We start from the raw sequence: 27,415 nt of genomic DNA, 5'->3' as shown, positions 1-27,415 counted from the left end.
CCTTCAATTAGAGTGCCTCTGAAAGACAGGGTGTATTCCAGCTGGCATTGGGACAACCTAAAGTTTAAACCTTTGGGTGAAAAAGGTAAGACAAGTAAGTGGCAGAAGTTCAATTTATATGGCAGAGTTTTATAGGTTAATTTGTTCATTCATTTATTTATTCATCTGTTCGTCAAATACATTGAGTACACCCATGAACCAGGTAATATGCTTTGATCTATATAGAGCTCATATGAACGTGTTCTCCTTCTTTTAAAAATTTCTGATATGTATCAAACTGTTAGAAATAGATAACTAAACAGACATCTTTGTGCTAACCACTAAAGTTTATCATTTTTAAATATTTGATTCAGAAATGTTTAAAAAGAAATAAAATATTGGAGTTACCCTTCCTGTTCCTATTGCCTTCACTTATTCCCGTGAGGCAATTGACATCCTTCACTTGATATATTTTCATCCATTTTCTACATATGCATGTATCTATACCAATTTATAAGATTGATTTGCATGTTTTAAAATTCTATATAAATTGCATATAAATATTATTATTCTAACTGTATCATTCTGCAACCTGATTTTTTTTGCTCAAAAATGTTTTTGAGCTTAAATCTATATTGATACAAGTAGCTCTACTTCTTGAATTTTAATTTCTATACACTATTTCATTATTTGAATATTCCACAGTTTGCCTGTTGATATGGTTTGGATCTGTGTCCCCACCAAATCTTATGTCAAATTGTAATCACCAATGTTGGAGGTAGGGACTAGTGGGAGGTGACTGGATCATGGAGGCAGATTTTTCATGAATGGCTTAGCACCATCCCTCATGATTGTGAGTGAGTTCTTGAGAGTTCTGGCTATTTAAAAGTGTGCAGCACCTCCTCCATCACTCTCTCTCTTGCTCCTGCTCCTGCCATGTAAGACATGCCTGCTTTTCATTCACCTTCTGCCATGACTGTACGTTTCCTGAAGCCTCCTCAGAAGCAGAGAAGATGCCAGCATCATGCTTCCTATACGGCCTGTAGAATCATGAGCCAACTAAGCCTCTTTTCTTTATAAATTACCCAATCTCTGGTATTTCTTTATAGCAATTCAAGAATGGGCTAGCACACCTATTCTCTTGCTGATGTATTTTTAGAGTCTGTCTATTTTTTTTAGGTACTACTAACAGCTTTATGAGAAAAGAAAAAATATTATAGGGATATTAAATAAATTTGTGAAAATTTCTCTTGTTCTGTACCTAGGATTGGCATTGTTGGATCAAAGGGTATGTCCACCTTCACATTAACTAGAGACTGCCAATTTTCTGTACAAGCAATTATTGATATTCCCATCAGTAGAGTATAAGTGTTCCAATTTCTCCACAACTTTTTCGACAAGTGGTAACTTAAAGTTATTTGTCTTACTTGTCTGTTCTCTGAATATTTCACATAAAATAAAGATTCTTATTCCCTTGAATTTTTGATAAAAGTCACCTGTTAAAATCATCAGAGCCTAGTGTCTTTTTTTAAAGTAGGTTTTTTATTACTGATTTAATTTATTTAATGGTTATTGATTTCTTCAAGCTTTCTAATTTTCATCAGTCAGTTTTAGTAATTTATATTTTCTAGGTGATTATTCATTTCATTAAAGGTTTAAAATTTGTTGGTATGGTACTATTCATAATATGTTATTATTTAACTCTCTATTTTCTCTGCAGTTATATTTCATTTTTGGTTTCTAATATTGTTTATATATGACCTTTTTCTTAATTAGTCTTGCTAAACACTTTTATCAGTTTTGGTTTTCTTTTTTATTTCTCTACATTATTTTTTTCTATTCAATTAAATGCTTCTGTGACTTTTTTTTACCTTTCTTCTGTAATTTTCTTTTTTCTTTTCTTTTCTTCTTTTCTTTTCTTTTTTTTTTTTTTTTGACAGAATCTTGCTCTGTTGCCCAGGCTGGAGGGCAGTGGCATGATCTCAGTTCATTGCAACCTTTGCCTCACAGGTTCAAGCAATTCTCATTCCTCAGCCTGCTAAGTAGCTGGGAATACAGGTGTGCACCACCATGCCCAGCTAATTTTTGTATTTTTAGTAGAGACAGGGTTTAGCCATGTTGGCCAGGCTGGTCTTGAACTCCTGGCCTCAAGTTACCTTCTTGCCTCAGCCTCCCAAAGTGCTGGGATTACAGGTGTGAGCTACCGCACCTGGCCCCCTTTCTGTAATTTTCTATAGGGTTATTCCCTTATTTTTATAGCTTATTTTTTAAACATCATTATTGATTTTAATACATGCAGTTACTGCTATAAATATGCCCCAAATACCCTTTTAGCTGCATCCCACAAGTTTTGACAAATAGTACTTCCATTAGTAAGTTCTAAATATTTTATATTTCTCACTTTATAATGACTAGAACAATTTTATTCACATTATTCCTTCATGGCCTTGACTCCTGGAAACCAATGTTGGATTTCAGACTTGAAATCTTGAAGTCCTATGCCTAAAGCTTTGCTCACTTCATTGCCTTCCAGTTCTATTTCTGGTGCATAAATATGTTTATCTTCTGTTTGATGCTAGCTATGTTTTTCTGATTTTGTCTAATTTTTCTGTCGATACCATCTTTTCATGAATCCACTGCACCATCATTACTGGAAGACCCTTTTACTCACTTTAGCTTTACAGATTGCTTGCATATCTCATTCTTTATTAGGATGAGCAATTAAAAAACAGGGAATCAGTGTCTATACTTAAGACTGTACAGCATGCTGATTAAAAGAGAGGGGAGTACTGAGGCAATTATGTAGATAGTTGTTGTAAACATTGACAAATGTAAGAATGGACGTGGAGGATGAAAAAGAAACAATCCTTTACTTTGTCAATGTGGTTAGGAGTTCCATGTCCCCAGTTCCCAACTGAATGTAATTTAAATCAATTCAGACTGAGGTAAAACTTCATCTCTTCACAAGAGGTAACTCTGTGCAGTCTCTTAGACATTACAGCAATCGCCTGTGGAGAGATTGTTCTAATCTACAAATAAGGACACACTCGTGCAACTGCAGTTCAAAAGTAGATATAGATGAAGTATGACTGAAACGTAGGCTTCCATTTTTCCCTTGTTTATTTGCTTTATTCCCTTTGAAAAAATAGGGGACTTGCTTATTTTAAAATGCCCTTTCCCTTAGAATGACCTGCTGAGTATTTGTGGAACAAACTTGGCACAGTGTTTTGGAAATACACAGTAAATTTTCTGGGAGGAAATTGAATCACTAGTAAAAGAAATGAATTCTGTGATCAAAAATTGGTCCTCTTTATGTTTATGGCCTCATTCCCATATCTTTCTCCTTCCTCATTTCTCCCTTTCTTCACCCTTTAATTTGTTGTCCTTGTTGCTTAGTGACTGTGGTTGGGTTAGAGGAGATAGAAATAAACAAAAATTTTGTTGGCAAGAGCTTCTCATTTTAAAAAAGCAGCATGTTTGGCAGGCAGAAGATTGGAACTTTTGGCCTTGATGAAAAATTATATGTCATGCTTTCAAAAATAATAAAAAGAAAAAAGTTGGAATGTTTGGCATTACAGAGAACAAGCCATATTTAACTAGTTTTGAAACAGAAAGTATTTGATAAAGATAAAACCTTTTTATTTATTCTATACTTCTTTTTTATTCTCAACATGATGTTCTGTGATTATGATAGTTAATTTTATGTCTCAGTTGGACTGGGCCATGGAGTGCTTAGATATATTGTCAAACATTATTTTGTGTGTGTCTGCGAAGGTATTTTTGGATAAGATTAAAATTTGAATAGGTAGACCGATTAAAACAGATTGTCCTCTCTAATGTGACCAGGTTTCATCCAATCATTTGAGGGCCTGAATAGAACAAAAAGGCTGACTCCCATGCATACACACACACACACACACACACACACACACACTCACACACCACTCCTGTTGGTTCTGTATCTCTGGAGAACTCTAACAGAGTTGTTTATTGAAAATATAATTTAATGTTAAAAAACTTGAAATAAAGTTTTTGAAATCTGTTGTAAAATAAATGAAAAGTCCAGGGACAAAGGACATTCGAAAAGGTTTATTCTAGGATATAAGCTGAGGGAAAATTCTCAAGGATCAAAATAAAGTACATATTCTAGGAAGAAGCAATTCCTCCATCTAATTTTTGAGCAGTGTCTTTCTGACATTATCCAAGTAATTTAGAGAATCAACTATCACTAAATCAACTAAACATCAGGGATTCTTACTCTTATTTTCACCAGAATGCAAAGTGTTTTAATATAATACCTGTAACTTGGATACTTAATCAAATATCTTTATTTCCCTTCAAGACAATACTTTTCTTTCTTTTTTTTTCTTTCCAACGTTTATTTTAGGTTCAGGGGTACATGTGCAGGTTTGCTATATGGGTAAATTGCCTGTCACAGTGGTTTGATGTACCTTATTTCATCACCCAGGTAGTGAGCATACTACCCGATAGGTAGTTTTTCGATCCTCACCCTCCTCCCACCCTCCATCCTCAGGTAGGCCCGGGTGTCTATTGTCCCCTTCTTTGTGTCCATGTGTTCAATGGTTACCTCCTACTTATAAGTGAGAGCAGGTTGTATTTGGTTTTCTGTTACTGCATTAATTTGCTTAGGATAATGGCCTCTGGCTCCATCCATATTGCTGCAAAGGATATGATTTCATTATTTTCTATGGCTGTGTAGTATTCTATGGCATATATGTACCACATTTTCTTTATTCAGTCCACTGCTGATGGGCATCTGAGTTGAATTCATGTCTTTGCTGTTATGAATAGTGCTGTGATGAACACGTTTGCATGTGTCTTTATGGTAGAATGATTTATATTCCTGTAATGGGATTGCTGAGTGGGATGATAGTTCTAAGTTCTTTAAGAAATCATCAAACTGCTTTCCATGGTAGCTGAACTGATTTGCATTCCCACCAGCAGTGTACAAGTGTTCTCTTTTATTTGCAACCTTGCCAGCATCTGTGATTTTTTGATGTTTTAGTAATAGCCATTCTGACTGGTGGGAGATGGTATTGCACTGAAGTTTTGATTTGCACTTCTTTAATGATTAGTGATGTTGAACATTTTTTCAAATGCTTGTTATCCACAGGTATTTCTTCTTTTGATAAGTGTCTGTTCCTGTCACTTGCTCATTTTTTTTTACCCTTGCCTGAGCCTCAAGTTCCCCATATATGTGGAGTTGTTTTATTTTTTTTTTTTGCTTGTTGATTTAAGTTCCTTATAGATTCTAGATAGTAGACCTTTGTGGGATGCATAGCTTGCAAATATTTTCTCCCATTTTGTAGGTTGTCTGTTCACTCTCTTGATGGTTTTTTTTTTTTTTTTTTTTTTTTTGCTGTGCAGAAGCTCTTCAGTTTAATTAGGTCCTACTTGTCAATTTTTATTTTTGTTGTAATTGCTTTTAGTCTTGGTCATGAAATCATTGCCAGGGCCTATATCCAGAATGGTATTTCCTAGGTTATCTTCTAGAGTTTTTATAGTCTTACGTTTTAGTTTAAGTCTTAATCTATCTTGAGTTGATTTTTGAATATGATGAAAGGAAGGGGTCCAGTTTCAATGTTCTGCATATGGGTAGCTGGTTATCCCAGCACCATTTATTGAACAGGGAGTCCTTTCACCATCGTTTGTTTTCATCAACTTTGTTGAAGATCACGTGGTAGTAAGTGTGCAGTTTTATTTCATCAAATTGGTCAAATTGGCCATTTTAACAATATTGATTCTTCCTATTCATGAGCATTGAATGTTAGTAGGTGTGCAGCTTTATTTCTGAGTTCTCTATTCTTTTGCATTAGTCTATATGTCTGTTTTTGTGCCAGTACCATGCTGTTTTGGTTACTGTGGCCTTGTAGCATAGCTTGAAGTTGGGTATGTGATGCCTGAAGCTTTGTTCTTTTAGCTTTGGGTAGCTTTGGCTATGCAGTCTCTTTTTTGATTCCATATTAATTTTACAATAATTTTTTTCTAATTCTGTGAAAAATGTTGTTGGTAGTTTAATAGGAATAGCATTGGATCTGTAAATTGCTTTGGGCAGTATGGCCATATTAAAAATATTGATTCTTCCTATTCATGAGCACTGAATGTTATTTTGTTTGTATCATCTCTGGTTTCTTTCAGCAGTGTTTTGTAAATTTTGTAACGATCTTTTACCTTCCTTGTGAGCTGTATTTCTCAGTATTTTATTCTTTTTCTGACTGTTGTGAATATGGTAGCATTCCTGATTTAGCTCTCAGCTTGGGTGTTATTGCTGTATAGAAATGCTGCTGATTTTTGTACATCGATTTTGTATCCTGAAGGATACAAAGAGAGGAAAAGAGGAAGTCAAATGATTTATCTTTCTGTGAAGAGAGACATTTTAAGTCTCCTAAAAAAAAGAAGTTCCTTCTTATTGTTGGACTTACCTTATAGATCATTACACTAATTTATACACCTTGTAGTAGTTTATGCGGGCATTCATTCAGCCCTTGTCAATATTGAGTGCAGTAAGTTAAAAAATTGTTGACGAGTTTGATGAATGTAAAATAATTTCTTGTTTTAATTTGCCTGTTATTGGTTCCTAGAAATTATGAATCTGTTAGTCTATGTTTATTGGTCTTTATATATATTCTGTTTTAATTTGCCTTTTATTGGTTTCTAGAAATTATAAATCTGTTAGTCTATGTTTATTGGTCTTTACATATATTCTGTGAATTGATTTTTTAAATAGCATTATTGAAATATAATTTACATGCCATAAAATTAACATGTTTAAAGAGTATAATTCAATGGCTTGTTGATATATCTATCACATTATTATCTTAAAAATTAAGCTGAAGTACATGTAACATAAAATTTACCATTTTAACTATTTTAAGTGCGAAATTAAATTACATTAATTACATTCATATGTTACACCACCAGCACCACTATACTATCCAGCATCTGTTTGCAAATATTTTTCATCACCCAAATGGAAACTCTGAACATTAAGCAATAATATTCCATTCTCCCCCACCTCACTTCCCCACAGCCACTAGTAACCTCTAATCTATTTTCTGTCTTTGTGGATTTTCCTATCTTAAGTACCTCATATATTTGGAATCATACAATATTTGTTCTTTTTTTGTATTGCTTATATCACTTAGCATAACATTTTCAAGGTTCGTTCACGTTATAGCATGTATCAGAATTTCATTCATTTTTAAGGCTGAATAATATTCCATCATATGTATATACCACATTTTCCTTATGCATTCAACTGTTGATGGACATTTGTTTGTTTCCACCTTTTGGGTATTGTGAGTAATCCTAAATCCCTGCTTTCAGAACTTTTGGGTATATACCTTAGAGTAGAATTGCTGGATTACATGGTAATTCTATGCTTAGCTTTTTGAGGAACCAAAATCTTTTTTACAGCTGCTACATCATTTACATTCCCACCAGCAATAAATGAGTGTTCAAATTTCTCCTCATCCTCACCAACACTTGTTTTTTTTCTGTTTTTTGGTAATAGCCATCCTAATGGTTATGAAGTTGTATCTGATTGTGGTTTTGATTTCTCATTTCCCTAATAACTAACAATGTTGAGTATCTTTTTATGTGCTTATTGGCCATTTGTGTATCTTCTTTGGAGAAATGTCTATTCAAATGTTTTGCCCATTTATGAATTGGGTTGTTCATTTTTGTTGTTGTTGTTGAGTTGTAGGAGTTTTTACAAAGCATGTATTTTGGATATTATTATTTTTAGGATATGTGATTGTTTTAGTTGTTTCTCCCATTCTGTGTGTTGTCTTTTCATTTTCTTGACAGTGTCTTTTGATTAATAAAAGGCTTTAATTTTGATAAAGTCCAATTTATTAATTTTTTTCTTTTATTGCACGTGCTTTTGATGTCATGTCCAAGAAATCATTGCCAGATCCAATGTCATGAAAATGTTCCCTAAGTTTTCTTCTAAAGATTTTATAGTTATAGCTCTTAAAATTGAATTTCTGGTCCATTTTGAGTTAATATTTGTATATAATGTAAAATAAGGGTTTAACTTCATTCTTTCACATGTGAATATACAATTTTCCCAGTACTATTTTGTGAAAAGACTGTACTTTCTCTATTGAGTGATCTTGGCACCTTTGTTGAAGATGAATATTTGAGTTTATTTTTGAGTTCTCTATTCTAGTCCATTGGTCTATATGTCTTATAACAGTACCACACTATTTTGATTATGGCAGCTTTGGAGTAAGTTTTAAAATATGGAACTGAGAGTCTTTCCAACTTGTTCTTTTTCAGGATACTTTTGGCTATTTAGGGTCCCTTGAAATTCTACATGAATTTTAGTATTGGTTTTTCTATTTCTTCAAAAAAGTGTTGTTGGGATTTTAATAGGAATTATGTTGACTCTGTGGATCACTTTGGGTAGTACCATCATCTCAATATTATATCTTCTAATCCATCAACATGAGTTGTCTTTCTATTTATTTAGATCTTCTTTAAGTACTTCCAGTAATATTTTGTAGTTTTTAGTGAACTATTCTACCTCCTTGGTTAAATTAATTTCTAAATATTTTATTCCTTTTGATTTTATCTTAAATTATATTTAAAATTTATTTTTCCAGATTGTTCACTGTTAGTGTAAGAAATGCAGCTGATATTTGCATTTTTATTTTGTATCTTGTAATTTTGCTGATTTTGTTTCTTGGCTCTGAAAGATATTTTGGTGTGGAATTTTTAGGGTTTTCTACATATAAGATCATGTTATCTGCAAATAGAGATGATTTTACTTTTTCTTTTTCATTATGGATGTCTTTTAATTTTTTTTCTTGCCTAAATTCTAGCTAGAACTTCTTGTACTATGTTGAATAGAAGTGGCAAAAGTGGGCAACTTTTTCTTCTTCCTGATATTAGAGGAAAATCTTTCAGTCTTTCACCATTTAGCATGAAGATAACAGTGGGTTTTTCATATAGTCTTTAATTGTGTTAAGGAAGTTTCCTTCTATTCCTAGTTTTTTGCGTATTTTATCGTGAATATGTGTTGGATTTTGTCAAGTGCTTTTTCTGCATCAGTTGAGATAGTTATGCAGTTCTTTTCTTTCATTCTCTTAATTTTGTATTTTAAAGTATTTTCCTGTTTTCTGTTTGCTGTTTAATTTTGTTGCTATTAATGTACTTTTTTCTTTTTTTTTAAAGATGGGGTCTTGCTTTGTTGCCCAGGATGGAATGCAGTGGCCTAATCACAGCTTCCTGCAGTGTCAAACTCCTGGGGTCAAGTGATCCTCATATGCCAGTCTTCCAAGAAGCTGGGACTACAGGCATACACCACCACATCTGGTGAATTTGTATTTTATTTTTTTTAGAGATGGGGTCTCACTATGTTTCCCAGGCTAGTCTTGAACTTCTGGCAGCAAGTGACCTCCTGTCTTAGTCTCCTGAGTAGCTGAGAATATAGGCCTGAACCACCACATCCAAATTTATGTACATTTTATTTATGTTTTAAAATCTATTTTTTTGGTTTGAAAATTAGAAAGTCCTTCCCCTTTTCAAGATCAATTATATAACTACCTATGTACCTATATTTTCTTCTAAATGTTATAGTTTCAATTTTGTATTTCATTTTTTAAACCATGTGGAATTATTTTGATGTAAGTATCCAACTTGATATCTTTACACACTGTAAGAAAAAGTTCCCAGCATTTTTTATTTATAACTCTCACTTTACATATTGGTTTTGAATAACAACTTTTATCATAAATTTGGTTGATATTTTAGTGTCTTATTCTGGCCTATCATGCTGTTTTAATGATATTCTTGCCAATTTTTTCACCTATCTCACTATGTTTTAAAGCTATACATGTGGTAGACTGGTGTATTTCAAATCTTTAGTCTCTCCCCAATAATAAGATTTTTTATTCACATCTTTTGCCATGAACTTTGCGGTGCCCTCTTCCCACTTATATCTAGGCTGGCCATGTGACTTGCTTTGGCCAACATGATTTTACAAAATGTGGTGCAAACAGAGATTTGAAAAGTGCTTCCAGAGTTGGGCTTACTCTCTTTCAGTTCAGCAATTGCTATAAGAAAAACTTGCTTAGGGTACCCTACTAGACCCAGGAGGAGGATGAAAGACATATAGAGAAGAGCTATCTTAGCCAAGCCACCCCAGCTAGGCTTAGCCTAGGTTATCTGACTCTTAGTCAACCCACAAATATTTAAGAAATCCCAGTCAATATTCACAAAGTAAAATAGCCTAGACTAGTCTAGATTAGATAAACACTAACTGACTCACAGAAATGTGAGCTAAATAAATGCCACTAAGATTTTTATGGTTGCTTACTATTCAGGAATAACTACCCAGTACAATAACACATTTTAATGTATGGTAGGATGTCAACTCGTTTTGTATATTTACATTTGCAAAAGTATTTTGTAGCTATTCTTGGCCATTAATTCTGATTTGCTTAATTATGTAATTATTTGTGTATATTTCTTATCTTTTTCACCTTGATCCAGTCTAACAATAAAAGATCTTTGAAAGCAGACACTAATTTATTCATCTTTAGTAGTGTCTGTCACAATATGTAGCTCAGGGCTTTTTTGCTCACAGTGATACTCAACACCTAGTCACTGTTTAATTAAACTGAGCAACTTCAAAACAAATTCTGGTAGCACAGTCAGAATCCCACCATTCTCATTTACTTCATTACCTATAAGGAAATTTACAATGTCTGGTGTTATATAGCTGTAGCCTTTTTTTTTAGATAGGTTTTATTTTATTCTGTAATCTCTTATCTATTGTAGCAATGATTATTGTAATTTATATCAAATAGCATATGATACCTTGGGTTCTGATAGTATTCATAATATAGGAGCCACATAATCAGTTTTTATATGTCTTTGTTTTTCAATTTTACTTTAGCTTACACTCTTTCCAGCTTACTCTGAAATCTTCCTTAATTTTCTTATTTTTATTACAAGAAAAGGAAGTAGTATTTGAATATATATGAAGCTGTTTGAAGTAGGTGGACAACACTGATTCACCCAATTAAGTAGTGTTTGCAGATTTTTCTGGGGGGATTTTGTGACCTTATGTGTAACACTTTTGAATAATTGCAAAGTAGATTCATTATACATAACTTAAGAATTTGAAGTCAAAATTGCCTGGCTTTTGATTTTGCTTTTAAAAAAGGAGGGGGGAAGAATATCAGGGCCTAGTGAATATATCACCAACATAATACTGATTAATTTTCTTGAGTAGGAATGTATTTTTTTATTTTACTATCAGGATTTGCTGGAATCATCTTCCCGTCAATATTTATCCCACTGAAGATCTTATTAATGGTACTTTATCTTTTGGCTGCACCTTTTACTCTTTCCATCTGTTTGTGGAGCATTTTAATAGCCCCTACAGGTCTCCATTACAACTAAATGTTTTCTGAGGCAGCCTATGATAGATGGGTCTGCTATTGTGTTTAATTATTTCCATTAAATAATATACTAAAACTGAATTATGATGAAATTAAGTAAAAGAATAATATATTACATTGGTTTTCACTTAGAAAACCTGACTAATTTATGTTTGCATTTAATAAAACTAACCTCTTGGCCCGGCATGTTGGCTCACGCCTATAATCCCAGCACTTTGGGAGGCCGAGGTGGGCGGATCATGAGGTCAAGAGATTGAGACCATTCTAGCCAACATGGTGAAACACTGTCTCTACTAAAAATACAAAAACTAGCTGGGTGTGGTGGCGTGCGCCTGCAGTCCCAGCTACTTGGGAGGCTGAGGCAGGAGAATCGCTTGAACCCGGGAGGCGGAGGTTGCAGTGAGCCGAGATTGCGCCACTGCACTCCAGCCTGGCAACAGAGCAAGACTCTGTCTCAAAATAAAATAAAATAAAAACAACATAATACCCCAAAAAGCTAACCTCTTTAATCATTTGCCCAAAGTTTAAGGAACATATGTTTCCCCAAAAGAAATGGCGTTAGAAAAGGGTAAGTAAATTTTTAAAGTGATGACAGAACTTTGAGACATTCTAGTCTTGTGCTTTAGGATGTGTGAGAAGCATATATAACTTCCCTAATTTTCATTCAGTCAAGCTTTTCTCATGACCTTGTGCAGGTCATATGACCTTGTTTAACTCACATATCTATGAGCATCTGCTTTTTAAAGTTTTCATTTTCCAAACTGATTATCTTACTCTATACATGGTAAAAGGAGGTAGCTACACTACTTTAATAATAATTCCCCTGAGATATTTATAGTACAATGATCATAAAAGTATATATTAAGATAGAGTCAATATGCCACTCTTCTGTCTCTTGAGCCATATAAATAGCTGCTCTGTGTAATGGATATAAATGTCCTCTCCACATTACCTCCATCTGACTGGTGTATGTGGTGAAACAATGGTGTCTGTATCACAGTATCTATCATATAAATAAGCACTCAATAGATGCTTATTATGTTGAATTTTCATTTACAGAAAAATAATTCTCTGATCAGACAATTATATGACTGATTAACATATGAGCATTGACAATAATATTTTCAGAATTGATACTAAAATTATCTCAAATAAAAAGCATATATCTACTATTTGTTATTCATATAAAGTGGTCTAATGAAGAAAAGACATCTCTAGGTAGAAAAGATCTTACAATGTTTCCACCTTGAGCTGAAAAAATAATCTGTGAAGACAGTCATGAACAGGTAAATTCAGCAATGAAGCAATTATTGAAAGAGTTGAAGGAAAATTCTGTTGCTAAGGCACCTATACATTTTGACCATGGCATTGATTTGAAAGATAACATGATTCTCATTTGTTTATCTCCAAAATGGTTGCCATATTGACAGCACAAGCAATTGCAATTTTCCTTGTCTCCTTTAACCTGCCCACATGCCTACCCATACCCTCCAACTATTAACATTTTTTTTCTCTTTCTGTCCTTAATTCAGAATAATATACCCTACCTACTTTTAAGATTTACTATAAAAGGATAAATAATCTGACATGCAGGCCAGGTTCTGATGTTCTGATGAAAATGAATGGGTCAGAGTTAAGAGCATGCCAAGAAGAGACACTATTCAAAAACCTAGAACCAGGGAATGCAGAAGTAGAGTTATAATCCGAAAGAAAAGGTAACAAGTCAAATCGAGGGACAAAATAAGCAATGTTAACCACGTATGTCAAAACAGAGAGAAACTTTATTTAATGAGCACTTTCTCCATGTCCCCATACCCTTAGGCTTTTGTCTCCTTTTATGAATATTGAGGATGAGTGACCCCACACCTGAGTTGATAGTTCAGTAAAAAACAGAAGTGGTACTCTATAAGAGTCTACAAGGGTATGTTGGATGTCTGGCATCAGATGACAATTCTGGAGACTTGGAGGCTAGTACAGAGACCAATAGAGTGCAAAAATTATGTAATCTAATTTTTGCTTATTAAGCTGCCTTGTACCTCTTCTTACTTAGTCTAACAAATTGTATAGGAAGAGTGTGCCATATAGAAGTTTTTCAATGGTGGAGAAACTTTAGGTTGTTTTTCTATATTCGGACAGCTGATCTGTGTAAAACTTGGTAATTTATAAAGAAAAGAGGTTTAATTTGCTCATGGTTTCACAGGCTGTATAGGAAGCATGACCGCTTCTGGAGAGGCCTCAGGAAACTTTCAACCATGGCAGAAGGTGAAGGGGAAGCAGGCACATCTTACATAGCTGGAACAGGAGGAAGAGAGAGAGGGGGAGGAGTGCTACACACTTTTAACCAAGTAGATCTCTTGAGAACTCTCTCATTATCATGAGAACAGCACCAAGTAGGATGGTGTTAAACCATTAGAAACCACCTCATGACCCAATCATCTACCATCAGGCTCCTCTTCCAACATTGGGGATTATAATTTGACATGATATTTGGGTGAGGACACAAATCCAAGCCATATCAGACTGCATATGGGGTTCTCCATAATGACATGACTAGAACCCAACTTTGTGAAAAATTACTTTCAACTGGTCATGAGGACAACGCTGCTGAGAGATCCTCATCAGAGTGAATGCATTAGCCACACAGGAACAATGTTGTACAGGTTTCCTGGAAAAGTGCTCTAAAACTAGAAAACAGCATATTCTGAGAATGATATTGTTGCATTCAGTGTAATCTTCAGAAAAATAGAAGACATGAGGGAAAAGAAGGAACAAAAGGAAAAATTAATAATGAGAAGACCACTTTTTATATTATTGCCTGTGATAAAGATGATTCCTGCTTTAGTTTATTCATTTAGGTGTAAAATTTTTGAGATGTTATCTTTTTACTTTTAACAAGTGGATCTTAGTTTTTTTTTTCCTTGCACATGGGCTTATCCAGTGTAGAGACATATCTATGTGATAGTAAATTATGCGCATAAAAAGTTAAAATTCTGGCCAATTTAGCCTTAGTGTTTGGTCCATGAAAACCACATTTATCTGTCTGACAGTACCAGGGAAATGCTTCACTGCCTTGCACACCCTTTTCCTCCTGACCTTCTAGGCTGCTTGCACATTGGAGTACCAGTTGCCCATATTGATATCACTTCAACTGCCCACCTTAGCAAAAAAGCAAGTGAACGAGTCTCTTTGTTATAACTCTTGAGGTCCCTCTGTTTAGTCTGTGCCTCTTCAAAACTCTCTACAAGTCACTTGGGGCAGCGAGGAAAGTAAATTACCTTCATTACGTTATCTCTAGATCCAGCTGGGTCAGGATTTGGCTAATTTAAATGAATGAGAACATTTGAGAAAGATGAATATGTGGACAAGGATGGAGCAAAGACTAGGGGGATTCAACTGGTAGGAGAACGACCATTTGTGTAGGTCATGTAGACAGACAGAGTTAGACCATCCAGGGTTTTAATCTGGGATCTACATGTTACTAGTTGCATAACCTTGATCAATGACTTAACCTCTTTGAGTCCCATCTGTGTAAAATGAGGATAATATTATGTAACTCACAGGATGCTGTAACAAAGAAATGAGAAACATGGTATATAGTGAGCATTAAAAGGGCACCTTAGCTTATCTTAGAACACAGAATCTGTATGGCATGAAAGATGCTGGTGCAGGTAAGCAGTTATCTTCATGGTTATTGGGTGCTTTGACAGGCTGAATTGACTAAGTCATGGGAGTGAGGAGGCCTTGACAGTGGAAGAAACAGCCCAAGCAAAGGTATAATGATATAATGAAAAGGAGTCACTTGAACCAGGAAAAAAAAATAGTTACTAATAATTTCTGTTTCATGCAGGCAAATCACGAGAAAAAGAAAGAGGCTCTTTTAAAATCAGTTTTTAGACATTACTTTTTATGTTTACCATTTCTATTGCCAGAAGCCTGATTAAGTTGGAAGTACAATCAGTTTTCTCAGGAAATAGTGTGGGTGTTAATTAGAGTGGTGTGAAGCTAGTGAGTCTCATGTTTCAGTGAGGTCAATGGAAACTTTAGTTACTGCAACTTTGAGAGCATTCCTCAAACCATGAAGTTAGCAAATTTTTGCACATATCTTAAATAAGGAAGCTTATTGGCTACAGAGGCAGCTATTAACAGGATTACTGTTAACAGCACTTTCAGAAGTGGGGGAGGAGTCAGGGAATAGAAACACTTAAAGTCTACCTCTGCTTACCCCAAAGGATGAGGAGAAGGAATATATGACATATTTTACTGTTTGAATGTACCTGTGCAGTGTTAGTTTAGTCTTTTATTACAGGTTGAGCATCTCTAATCCAACAATCCAAAATCCAAAATGTTCCATATCCAACAGTTTTTGAATACCAACATGATGTCACAAGTGGAAAATTCCACACCTGACCTCATGTGATGGGTGCACAAAATTAATTAAAATATTGTGTAGAATTACCTTCAGTCTATGTGTATGGGGTGAGTATAAAACATAAGTAAATTTTGTGTTTAGACTTGGGCCCCATCCCCAAGATATCTCATTACGTATATACGAATATCCCCAAACTTGAAAAGAATCTGAAATCTGAAACACTTCTGGTCCCAAGTATTTTGGATAAGAGATACTATATCTGTACATCCTAAGATACATATTTAATGTTTTAAAGGCCCTCTGGAATGTATTGCTGTCCATGAGCATAGATAGAGGAAACTTAAAATGATGTACTTTACAATAACACAATTATACTCCCCAAGAGCTCCCTGCTGGTGCTTGCAATAATCATTAATCACTCTTCTGATGTGGAGATTTGATGGTACCCTTAAAGATGCTAATAGCTCTGGGAGGGATAATGTATTAAGTAATGAAGTGTTATTAATCCTTAAGTGAGAATTAATTGATCAGATCTTTTCCAACAAAAAACCTATTGGAAAGAGATTTTCCGAGAAAGAATACAGGACATTATCTGGTGAGAATGAGTTTGATTAGCTGGAGAATGGTAAGGGCATTCAGCATAAAGATACTATGGAGGTACCTGGATGATGGTACAAAGATATCTGTGAATAAAAACAAACAAACAAACAAACAAAAAACACTGAAAGAATAGGAATAAAGAGCCTAGGGGAAATTTTAGCAAGTGATTGCTATGTGCCAAGCATTGGTTCAGACACATTCGCATTTTTTTTTAGTACTGAAATTAGGCTTCACTTACTTCACAATTTTGCCTTGGGCCAGCTATGTATATAGTTCTAGCTATTATTTTCAGAGTTTGTTTACTTGTATCTGTAAGTCTTAATTCAAATTCTATTCATAGTTCTTGTCTTTGACTTTTCAACTATGAGTAAAAAATAAGACCACATTTTCTAATGAGCAGCAGTAGCTTTCCTTTAGGAAATGGATTAGAAAATATTTGATCAGTTATACCCTGATGAAAGAGAAGTGTTTCACTGTAATTTTTTTCTGGCTATTTTAAAAAAGGTCTTTTTCAAACCCTTCAAATCCTCCTGCCTTATCTGCAAAAGGATGAAGATAATTATAGGTGTTAAATTGCAGCCTAGGCATACATTTTAATGAAAATTCAGGTTTGTAATGAGTGCTTACAGCAGAAATACTAATCCTGCTCTTTCAACCTGTGTTTGTGTGTTTGGTGTTAGAGAAACAAGAAAGGAATAATATTTGGTTTTGTAAAATGAACAAATGGCAGATCCTATTGTGGGTATAGGCTTCTTTTAATCTTAGTACTTTAATCATCAACACTGCACTCAGAACAAGTGATTTTCATTTTATTTTCTTCTTTCTCTAGAGCATAACACCCCAGTAAATAAACATATATAAAGAGAATGATTTAGTTTTACATGCAAGAGAGTGGGACTTTAGCCAAAGAATTTCAGCCTTCTGGGCTATGTTTTCTCACCTGTGCCTTTTCTATGAATTGTGATGCTAGTATACTATGAATTCACGTATCCACAAGTCTCTGGATTAATTAGGATCTGCATATATGAGTTTATAGAAAATTTATAGAGAAAACACAGTAAAGTGTGCACTTAACAAGACCTGTTAGCTATGCATACTTGTAAGTAAACTATACTCATATTTATACCTCAGTACTTAACTATGACATCAGTTTGACACTTGAAAGATAATAATTCTGTGCCTTTAGCAGCAAAATAACATTTTGTTGTTCTTCAGTGAATAGGGGGCTGGGGGAGTAAATATGTTGGTGCCAAGAATTGTATATGCTGCCAAATTCGTTTCGACCAAGTATGACTATGTTTGTCGTGCATAGCACCATTTGGAAATGATTTTAAACATTTATTTTCAAATCAATCAGGTTAATGAACTTGGTGAATCATGGATAGTTTGGAATTCATAATTTTAATTGGAACTCATAGTTGAAGTGGTACTTTTGTGTAATTAAAATCTCCGTTAGCTGGACAAATAGAACATTGCAAACAGGCAAATCGTGAGGTGAAAAGAAAGAGGAAGGAAGGAAATGAAGGAAAAAGGAAAGTTTCCTAGTGTGGTGGAATAGTTGTCTCTTTGAAGTACATGCTTGGAGAAAAAAGCAAAAGACCCCCAAAGGGATAAAAATATATAATCCTGATAAAAATGCTTATTGGGTATTTTATGTATAAACAATCACTTACTATCACGTGCTAGGATGCTGGAATTTGGGGAAATGATGTTTTTGAGGCCAAAATATACAGGAAAGTAAGGATCATCAGGAGACAACTTTGATCCTAACCCTGTAGAAACACTCAATATCACCTTTACTTTTATCATGAAATATTGACAGAGACAAGAATCCAAGACTTTGACACAAGCATCTACTCTTGAGCTTGTAAAGATAACAAATTACCATTAGTTTTCTCTACTGCATAGAATCTCCATGGGAGACAGTGAGTTGTGAAGCTGCTTGTTGCACAGCTGAACCTGGGGGCTCCTGACAGTGAACTTGCCAAAACAAAAGCACCAACATGAAAACTTAACGATGACTATAATCAAAAGTGAATAAGCATACTTTTCTTTATGCAGATTCTAATATAATTTAACTGAATCCGTTTATATTAAAAGATCTTTTCCTTAAAAGGCTATTTGAGAGAAGAAAGACAATAATAGGAGATGAATGTATGTTACTGAATTTTGCCAGAAGGTAATTTCTGTTCAGAGATAAAAATTTATAATTTGCAGATTAATGGAGGTTCTATACTAGGTTTTGCTCTGTCACCCAGGCTGGAGTGCAGGAGTGCAATCATGGCTCACTGCAACCTCAACTTCCTGGGTTCAAGGGAACATTCTGCCTCAGCCTCCTGAGTAGCTGGGACTAGAGGTGAGCACCACCACCACACCTGGCTAATTTTTGTATTTTTTTTGTAGAAATGCAGTTTGCCCAGTCTGGTCTCGAACTCTTGGTTTCAAGCCATCCTCCCACCTTAGCCTCCCAAAGTGCTGGGATTAAGGCAGGAGCCGCTACTCCCAGCCTACACTATTTTCTAATGGTATAATTTATATTTCTTCACTCTCAAAGATGGCATATTATTTATAACAAAATAAAAGCTTTTTTTTGGAACATGAATGTGCTTTATGCTTTATAACAATAATAAGTAAAATGGAAGAATCCACCCCTTGTCGGAAAAATATGGAATTTGTTTATTGTTTCTGCTTGAAGGAAAAAAAATGTTTTCATAAGCATGGCAGAAATGGGAATTTATACAGCATAAAAGATGTGTCTTTTTCCCAATCTTTTTAAACAATATTAGAGCAAAGACCAGTAGGACTATGCAGTTATTTTACTGCCATAAAAAGATTGACATATAATCATAATTAAATTTCAACTTGATTATTTATTTTTTGTGAGGACTTATCTTTGGGAGAGACATATTTAGAGAAATGAGGAAGGCGTGAACTATACCTAGCAAGTTAGATGCCCAGAATCAAACCTGGTGATCAATGTCATGACAGTCAGATACTGTCCAACCCACCTAATTATAAAATATGTTGAGAGTAGTATTAGATGATGTTGTTTATATACAAAATTATGTGTGATAGGCATAATAATTTTATATGCATTTGAGAATGCTTTCCTAAAATGATGACGATATGCACGTTATATATATGTGTGTGTGTGTGTGTGTGTGTGTGTGTGTGTATGTTTGTGTGTGTCACACTTCAGAAAGATCTAAAGTCACTGAACTATAACAAAATCTTATCTCTAGTTAATAACTATTTTTAGTATTAATTTGGTGGAAGTGTGTTTCTGACAAGTTATAGCATATCTATTTGAATGGCTCCCAAATCTGTATTTCCAGCCTATACCTCTCCACAGAATTTCTGTTATGTATAGTCCACTGTCTACTGGGTGTTTCTAACTGCATACCTAAGCTTGTTTTCCCTTTGCTAGTTCCATTGTGATAGAGATATAAACTTTTACATTCATTTCAAAATCACTTCCTAGTGATTCTACCTCCTTAGCATTTTTAATATATGGCGCCTCCTCCGTATACTCACTGCTACAACTTTAGTTCAGTCTTTACTCATCTCTTCCAGCTTTTCTTATCTCCAGTCTTGCCTTCCTGAAAATCATTCTGTCCATAACACTGCCTGAGTTATCTTTTATGGAATGTATATCTGATCATATATCTCCCCTAACTAAAGTACTTCAATGGGACTTTTAGGTAAACACATGTGTTTATCCAAGCCACTTCTTGAAGCTCTTAAGAGTATGACAATACAAGCAACTAAAAAGGTATAAAACCACAAGGACAAAGAGAATGGGAGAGGAAACTCAGAAGACTAGACATATCTACACATTTTAGAAGACAGAAAGTAAATGGATGTATAGTTATTTATGTAACAGAGGAGGAATAGTTAAAATTTAAATATCCGCAGAGGGAGAAGTAAATTCCTATAACACAATAGAAAGGCTTAGGAAGGCTTATGTTTAGAAACTGAAGGGACTAAGAAACTCTGAAGGCAGATTTTACTGGTTTGGGGTAAATAGAAACAAGAAGATTGGTTGAAAGTCTGGATATGTAGTAAGACCCCAAATCCCTTTACAAAACCCATTTCTCTTCTTTTAGGGCATAGTCATGGAGTAGATAATATATATTTTTCAAAAGTTTTTTGATACCATAAAAACAAATGACACATAGATATATTCGTATAATTTCATTACAATGTGCACAAAACTTATAATCATTTGATAGCCATATCAAATGATTATCTATCACTGTTCTCTTATAAGCTTTTTCTGTGCCTTTCAGGCAACACAGTGTGCAAAAAGTAGATTTTCAATAAAAAATAATGACCTTCAATGAACAATGTGTGCAAATTGTCTTTTTTTTTTAACCAAAGCAGAGTTTATGGGATGAGGGATTTCTAGAACCTATAACTTCCAAAATCATGGATCTTTATTGATGAGGTGTAAGGAGGAGCAGCAGATGGAAACCATACATAAAGAGTGAGGATGCAGAGACCTGGGAGAGGTGACAAACTGTGTAGGAAATATCAACTGCAGAATTACATAGCAAATTATAACATGCTTTGTATTTTGGTAGGTTGCAAAGAATGATTAGTGCAGCATGGAGATTGGATGTAGAAAATTCAGTCTTTGGGGGAATGGAAAGATAATGAGGCTTAGATAAAAGGTAGGTGGGTTATAAAATAGGATGAAATTATGTTTTATATGAGCATGGTATGTGTTGTGATTTTGAATCCTTTTCAATTTTCATATCTCTCTAGTGCCAACTTGGGAGACATATTATCAAGACTGAATCAGAGAGTTGACAGCATACCAGGAAGTGTCACTGTATAGTTTGGAAGATGGAAATCATACTACTTTTTTCCCATGTAAGCACTCCAGGAAATTAACCTCCAAATACAACTGAGGAATAGGCACCGTTATGGCTTTTTTACAGATCAATAAACTGATGAAATACGGTGAAGCTATGTAAGTAGACCAAAGATGTACAAGAAGACACACATTGAGCAGAAAATAAATTTAAGCCTGGCTTCTCAACTCTTTATTTAACCAGAGACGGTTCTATCTCAAACATGAGGTTCTATATGAAAGCAGGAGGGAATTAGGAAGTAAAATCTGGTGAGCATTTTTCCTGAAATATTACAGCTGTCATTCTCAGGGCCCTCGTCCTGAGATAGTGGCAGGTTAAGATATTAAATTTTTATTTCTCTGGGAACTCTTCATGGACTATTGCCATATCAATGACAATGCAGACAGAAGTGCAGGTGATTTTAAAGAACAGACTGCTTGACGTACCCTGTGTCTAGTACAGCTACACCCTAGAGCAGTTAGCAGTGCTTATCTGAATTCTTTGTTATTTGTCAAAAAGATTATTGTTTTCTGACACAATCTTTCTTTTCTAAGAAAAAAAAAAAAGCAGTGGTACATATTCTAACTATGCTTTAGAATCCCAGCTTCTGTCCTAAAGATAAAAATTTCAAGATGACTCCAAAAGGAAAAAAAGTGATATGGATATAAGTCAAGTGTTTTTAAGCTTTAAAACCATGATATCCTATTTCTCTTTCTCTATTTTTTCTTTTAATGCATTAAGCATAATCTCATACAACCAGGAATGTAAACCGTGACCAGTTTACCAAGAAAGGCTAAACTCAAAAGAACATATAATGATATGTTTGTCTTTCCTTTATTGTCTTTGCATTTAATTTTCATATATATCCATATTTGTGCAGTGACTTTGAATTTGTCTCCTGGAGGCAGATGCTCATGCAGGTTTAACTACTGAAAACTATAGATGGAAATGTTGATGACTAGGAGAGAATACACTGGGCAATGTGGACAGGGCCAGAATATTTTGCATGAGCGGGAAGCAGGATTCTGTCATCAAAGGAAACCAGTGTGCACTGTTGTTTGGTGAGGAAACTAGCACATAGATAAGAAACTCTTTTGATTACCTCCGCTATATATCTAAAGGATGTTATTCCCAATGGATTGCTCTAAGGGCTTTTCACTGTAGTTTTAATAATGGCCATGCCAACATTGTATCTTTTAAGAATATTGAAAGAGACCAATTTGGGAGACTGTGACCAGTATGAGTGTTCACTTCACCAAACTATCTCTGCTAAACTCTGAGGATCTGGAGGTTGGGGGATGAAATGCTCTGAAGATGATACTGGAGGCAAATATTTTCCTTGTTACTCTTCTTTTCTCTCAGCAAAGTGACTATAAGGTGTTTTAGTCCATTAAATTAACTGAATAGCCGGGGGCAGTGGCTCATGCCTATAATCCCAGCACTTTGGGAGACAAAGGCAGGCGGATCACCTAAGGTCAGGAGTTTGAGACCAGCCTGACCAACATGGTGAAACCCTGTCTTTACTAAAAATACAAAATTAGCTGGGCGTGGTGGCGCATGCCTGTAATCCTAGCTACTCTGGAGGCTGAGGCATGAGAATCCGTGGAACCTGGCAGGCGGAGGTTGCAGTGAGCCAAGATCGTGCCATTGCACTCTGGCCTGGGCAACAAGAGTGAAACTCCACATCAAAAAATAAATAAATAAATAAATAAATAAATAAATAAATAAATAAATAGAATAGATGTGTACCCTCATGAAATCAATAATTAGAAAAAATAAGTAAAAAGAATAGATACAATGAGTTTTTAAAATTTACTTGGCAATGATAATAGCAATGAAAATACTAACTCATAGAGTAAGTCCTATGTGCCAGGCACTCTTAGAAGTACTTTGCATTTATCATCTTATCTCACAGTCACAAAACCCCATATGATGGGTACTAATATTATTCTTGTTTTATAATAGAGGCAGATTTGAGATTCAATCCTAGGTAGTGTGGTTTCAGAGTCTACACTCTTTATTACTGAGGTACTGCCTCTCATAAAACAAAGCTATGTGTTTTTTTGACTTGGTTTGATGACAGGACCACAGCTTGGGCTTGTCTAAGTTTATGCCTTTCTCAGTTTTATCTTATCTTGCTCTACCATTTCTTACCTTTCCTAGATGTTCTCACCCCACTTGCCCAGCCCAGTATCCCATGCTTTACTGCTTCCCTGTACTTTTAGTCTAATAAAAAAGCACCTGATGAAATATATTCTCTCTAAGGTGTATATTATGTTATTCCTCTCAGAAGTCTTTTTTTTCAGGTATATAAAATATTAACCTTCCCAGAAATATTCGCATTTTTCAAAGGGGATGCATGGAGAGGAGATTGGGAGAATATTACAGAGTAGGTAAGATTTCTAAGAGCTTCTCAAATAGCAAAAAGTACATAATTACATACTTCCCCTACCTTTATGGACAGCCTAGCTTTATGGTGCTATCAGCACTTCCTTACCAGATGCAAAGGTCATAAGAAATTGGATAGTTTTCATATTACTTCAGAGGCTCCTATCTCTTCTATTCACACTGAATTTATTACTGCTCTCTGGATTTCTGTGGAAAGGATGGATTCTTACCATTTGTGATACAATAAAGATTAATTCCTGGCTCACTGAGATGCCAAGTTTAGCAAATATAAATGCATGACTCCAATGCAAATTTGAATTTCATAGAATAAATACTTTTTAGTATAAATATATCCCATGTAATATTTAGGACATACTTATATAAAACTTATTTTTCATTTCTCTTAAATTCAGATTTAACTGGACATCTTGTATTTTATTAGATATCTAAACTCAAAGTGGATTTTAATTGTTTGTAGACCAGAAGAAAATTTTAATTATGAGTATATTATAGTAATCCAATTATGAGGTGATGAAAACATGAAGGAAAGGTGGCCACTATAGAGAAATGCTCTGAAGGACAAATCCATGCGTACAACGGAAGAAGAATCAAAATGTGGTGATTGCTTGCTTTTGAAGGGGCTTTTGAACAATGTTGTTGAAAGAGATCCCGTGTCTCTTGAATAGAAGTCCTAGGTTATGTGTTACACAGCAAAAGTCACTATAAAAGACTAAGGACAGAAACTCAGCAACTTTGGTTCCGTTTTTTGGAGCAAGCAGGTTACATAAAATAATCAGACTAGAGAATAACTTGAGTCTTGAATGTCAAATAAGGCTTAGGGGATTAAACACACCTTAAATGTTATTTTAGGTCATTACACAGAAATCACAAGGCCAGTTAGTTTTCTATTGAATATCTAACAACCAGAGATACCATACTAAAGAGAAACTGTTAGTCTTTTGACATTGTATCATCATACTCCTATATAAATAAAGAATATTTCTTATATTTAACAATTCAGTTAAGATAATTGTACAATCAAGCATGATAATTTACAATCAAAACTAAAAATTGCAAAATGCTATACACATACTCTGTTCTGGAAAAAGAGAAAAGTTATGAACACTTAATATCTATTTTATGATGCCACAAAATATTTGAAGCATAAAGGATAATCTAATTTCATTTCCAATTGGGATATGAGTTTCCACCTCCCTCAGGAGATGATTCCTCAAAGAGTAGATGACAACTAGTGGCTAAATTAGGAAATACAAGTTAGATTTATAGAACTGGTTATAATGTGAAATCTTATTTTCTCTTCTAGCCAGAATGCCTATTAGCTATTTTGATTTATTTAATTTTAGTTGGATTTCAAAAATTAATAAATCATTGTTCATATTGCAAGGTGAATACTTAATCAGATACCTCTTGCAAGATTCTGATGCTGAGAGTTAGAATACAGTGTAAAAAAAGCATTTTAAATGTAAAGAAAGTGTTGTAGAGCATCCACAGTAAGAAAAGGGCAGGGTTACCGTGGGAACCATAATCCTGAATTTCATGACTTGTCTTGTGTGATTACAAATTTAATGCTGTAGGAAGGATTGTGTGACTTTTTCCTTTATTTTGAGGATGATTTATTTGTGAATAATCAGGAAAGGATAAGACTTAGATGTAACCTGAATTTGCACAAACAGGGAGGATACTACATCTTTTAGGAAGGTAAAAGTAAAACAAAACAAAATATGGGAGAGCAGTCTCTTCAAAAGAGTTCAGCACACTGCAAGTTTTCACTGTAGAAAAATACAGAAAACAATTTTACACTTTGACTTTATTTGCAGCTGAGGATTTTCAAAAGGCTTTGAAATGGGCACAGAAACTGTGCCATGTGTTTCTTGAAACTCAAGGGGTAGTCAGTCGTGGCAGTGAATGAATTCCAGAGCATAGCATGCAGCTGGCAACAGAAAGCAAGGGAAACTAGAGGAATTCACTTTTGCTTGGATTTAACTGAATCACAACTTGCAACAGTGAAGTATGAGTACAGTTGTCTGATAAATAACAGCAGCAGACAGGCAAAGTGTGTGGTAGTCAATATATGAGTTGTCTTGTTATTAGGAAAGATCTGGAGTCAAATATGAGTATGAGACTGCATTTGTACACAAAAGTGTGTCAAGCTGATTATACATCAGCCTGCTATGTATGTCTGCACATCATGCAATTTAATGGAAAGGGAAGGATGCAATCAATTAATAAGATGTTTTTACTATGGTTCTGAGCATACAGATTTCTCTAAAGAGTTGAATTTTTGACATATTTTTTATATTGATTAGCTTATTTTTCTTTGGATATTGCCAGAGGCAATAAATTTTGAGACTATGCCAGTTTTGGCAACAGACATTCCAAATAACATTTTCTGTGTTCAGTGGGTACTAAACAATTGATATGGCATAAAAGACCATGCATACATGGACACAAAAGTTTAGATCATATTTAGGTCAGGGTCCTTTTGTGTCCTTTTGGAGAAAAATTTAATATAGGTGGTGCTGCCTAAACAAATTTAGCTGAACTTAATACACTGGTTATTAGTATTTGTGCTAATAGCTGAACTTAATACACTGATTATTAGTATTTGTGCTAATATCTATGCTAATATGAATATCATCTGGTTTCATTCTATTTTCCGCTTAAAATGTAATATTGCTAAAGTCAATCAGTGTAAGCACCAGAGGCCTGGAAATGCAGCATGTGCTCTACAGAAAAAGAGATATTGCTATAGATGATAAATAGTGATGAAAATAGTGAATCGAATACAGTTTTAGAATAACAAAGATATAAATGAATGAATGAATGAAATGAGGAAATGAAATATGCACTTCAAGTCATGGAATACCAAGCCCATTATCAGAAAAATAATTTAGTTAGTGGAGGGGGTGGTAAAACTCTTAAAAGTTTGAAAGAATGCTTAACATCAGTATAAAGAAGCAAACAATAATGAATGAATTAAAATGTAGAATGTCGGTCAAAAACAATCACTCTAGTCTTTCATAAGGAAGTAGTGAGAAAAGTAATCATCTTGGTTTTGATCAATTTATGATAAAAGTGAGTTATTCTAGAGTGGAGAGACAAAAAAGGGAGCTGAGTTTTAAGTTTTCACTGAATACATATAGATTGAAATGAATAAGAAATGAAAGAAACAATTAAAGGACTGTAAGGCTAGGCACAACAAAATTAAAAACATTTTGAGTGTAATGTCTTTTGCATGAATAGACTGTACTAACAATGAAATGCTAAAAACATTTGAATGTCAAAAATAGGATGTTAAAGCTTCAGAATTTGATGAATATTTAGCATAATACAGTAGTTTCTTTGCCTGAGCTCTTGCTGCTTTTTATCACCATTTTCTCATGAAATACTTTACCTTGTAGTGGAAAGCAGTGTTTTAATAAGATAAGCCATGAGTATTTATATAGTTGAAACAAAAAAGATTGAGCTCTATTTCATCAGATTGCTATAAACCAGGAGCTCTACAAAATGAAAAAGGAAAGGGAAAAAGAATTCTCAGAATAAGAATGACATAGAAATAAATGCAATGTCAAAATTGATCAAAGGGGAAGAGTTGCTTTTAAATGTAAGTTTGGATGAAAATGATACAAAGAGACACAGGTAAAAGGAAGAGCACAGTGAAACTGAGTCATCTATAGATGAAGGAAAGAAAAGGAATTTATATTAACAATGAGCATTGATGTCCAGTTAGTGTCAGAAATTTCCAGAATATCCTGATTTGCAGTGGG

At 34.4% G+C, this 27,415-nt stretch overlaps 1 long non-coding RNA gene across 1 annotated transcript; it reads left to right on the top strand.

Moving 5' to 3' along the window:
- LOC124905234 (uncharacterized) lies at window positions 1-23,493 on the top strand. Its single transcript, XR_007068364.1, has 2 exons — window positions 1-85; window positions 21,151-23,493. It is a non-coding gene; the product is annotated as an uncharacterized LOC124905234 (long non-coding RNA).
- Window positions 23,494-27,415: the final 3,922 nt, after the last annotated feature.

The sequence above is a fragment of the Homo sapiens genome, chromosome X (assembly GCF_000001405.40).
Source record: "Homo sapiens chromosome X, GRCh38.p14 Primary Assembly".
Taxonomy (NCBI): Eukaryota; Metazoa; Chordata; class Mammalia; order Primates; family Hominidae; genus Homo; species Homo sapiens.
Note: the sequence above shows the minus strand (reverse complement) of the source record. Positions and strands in the feature narration are given on the sequence as shown.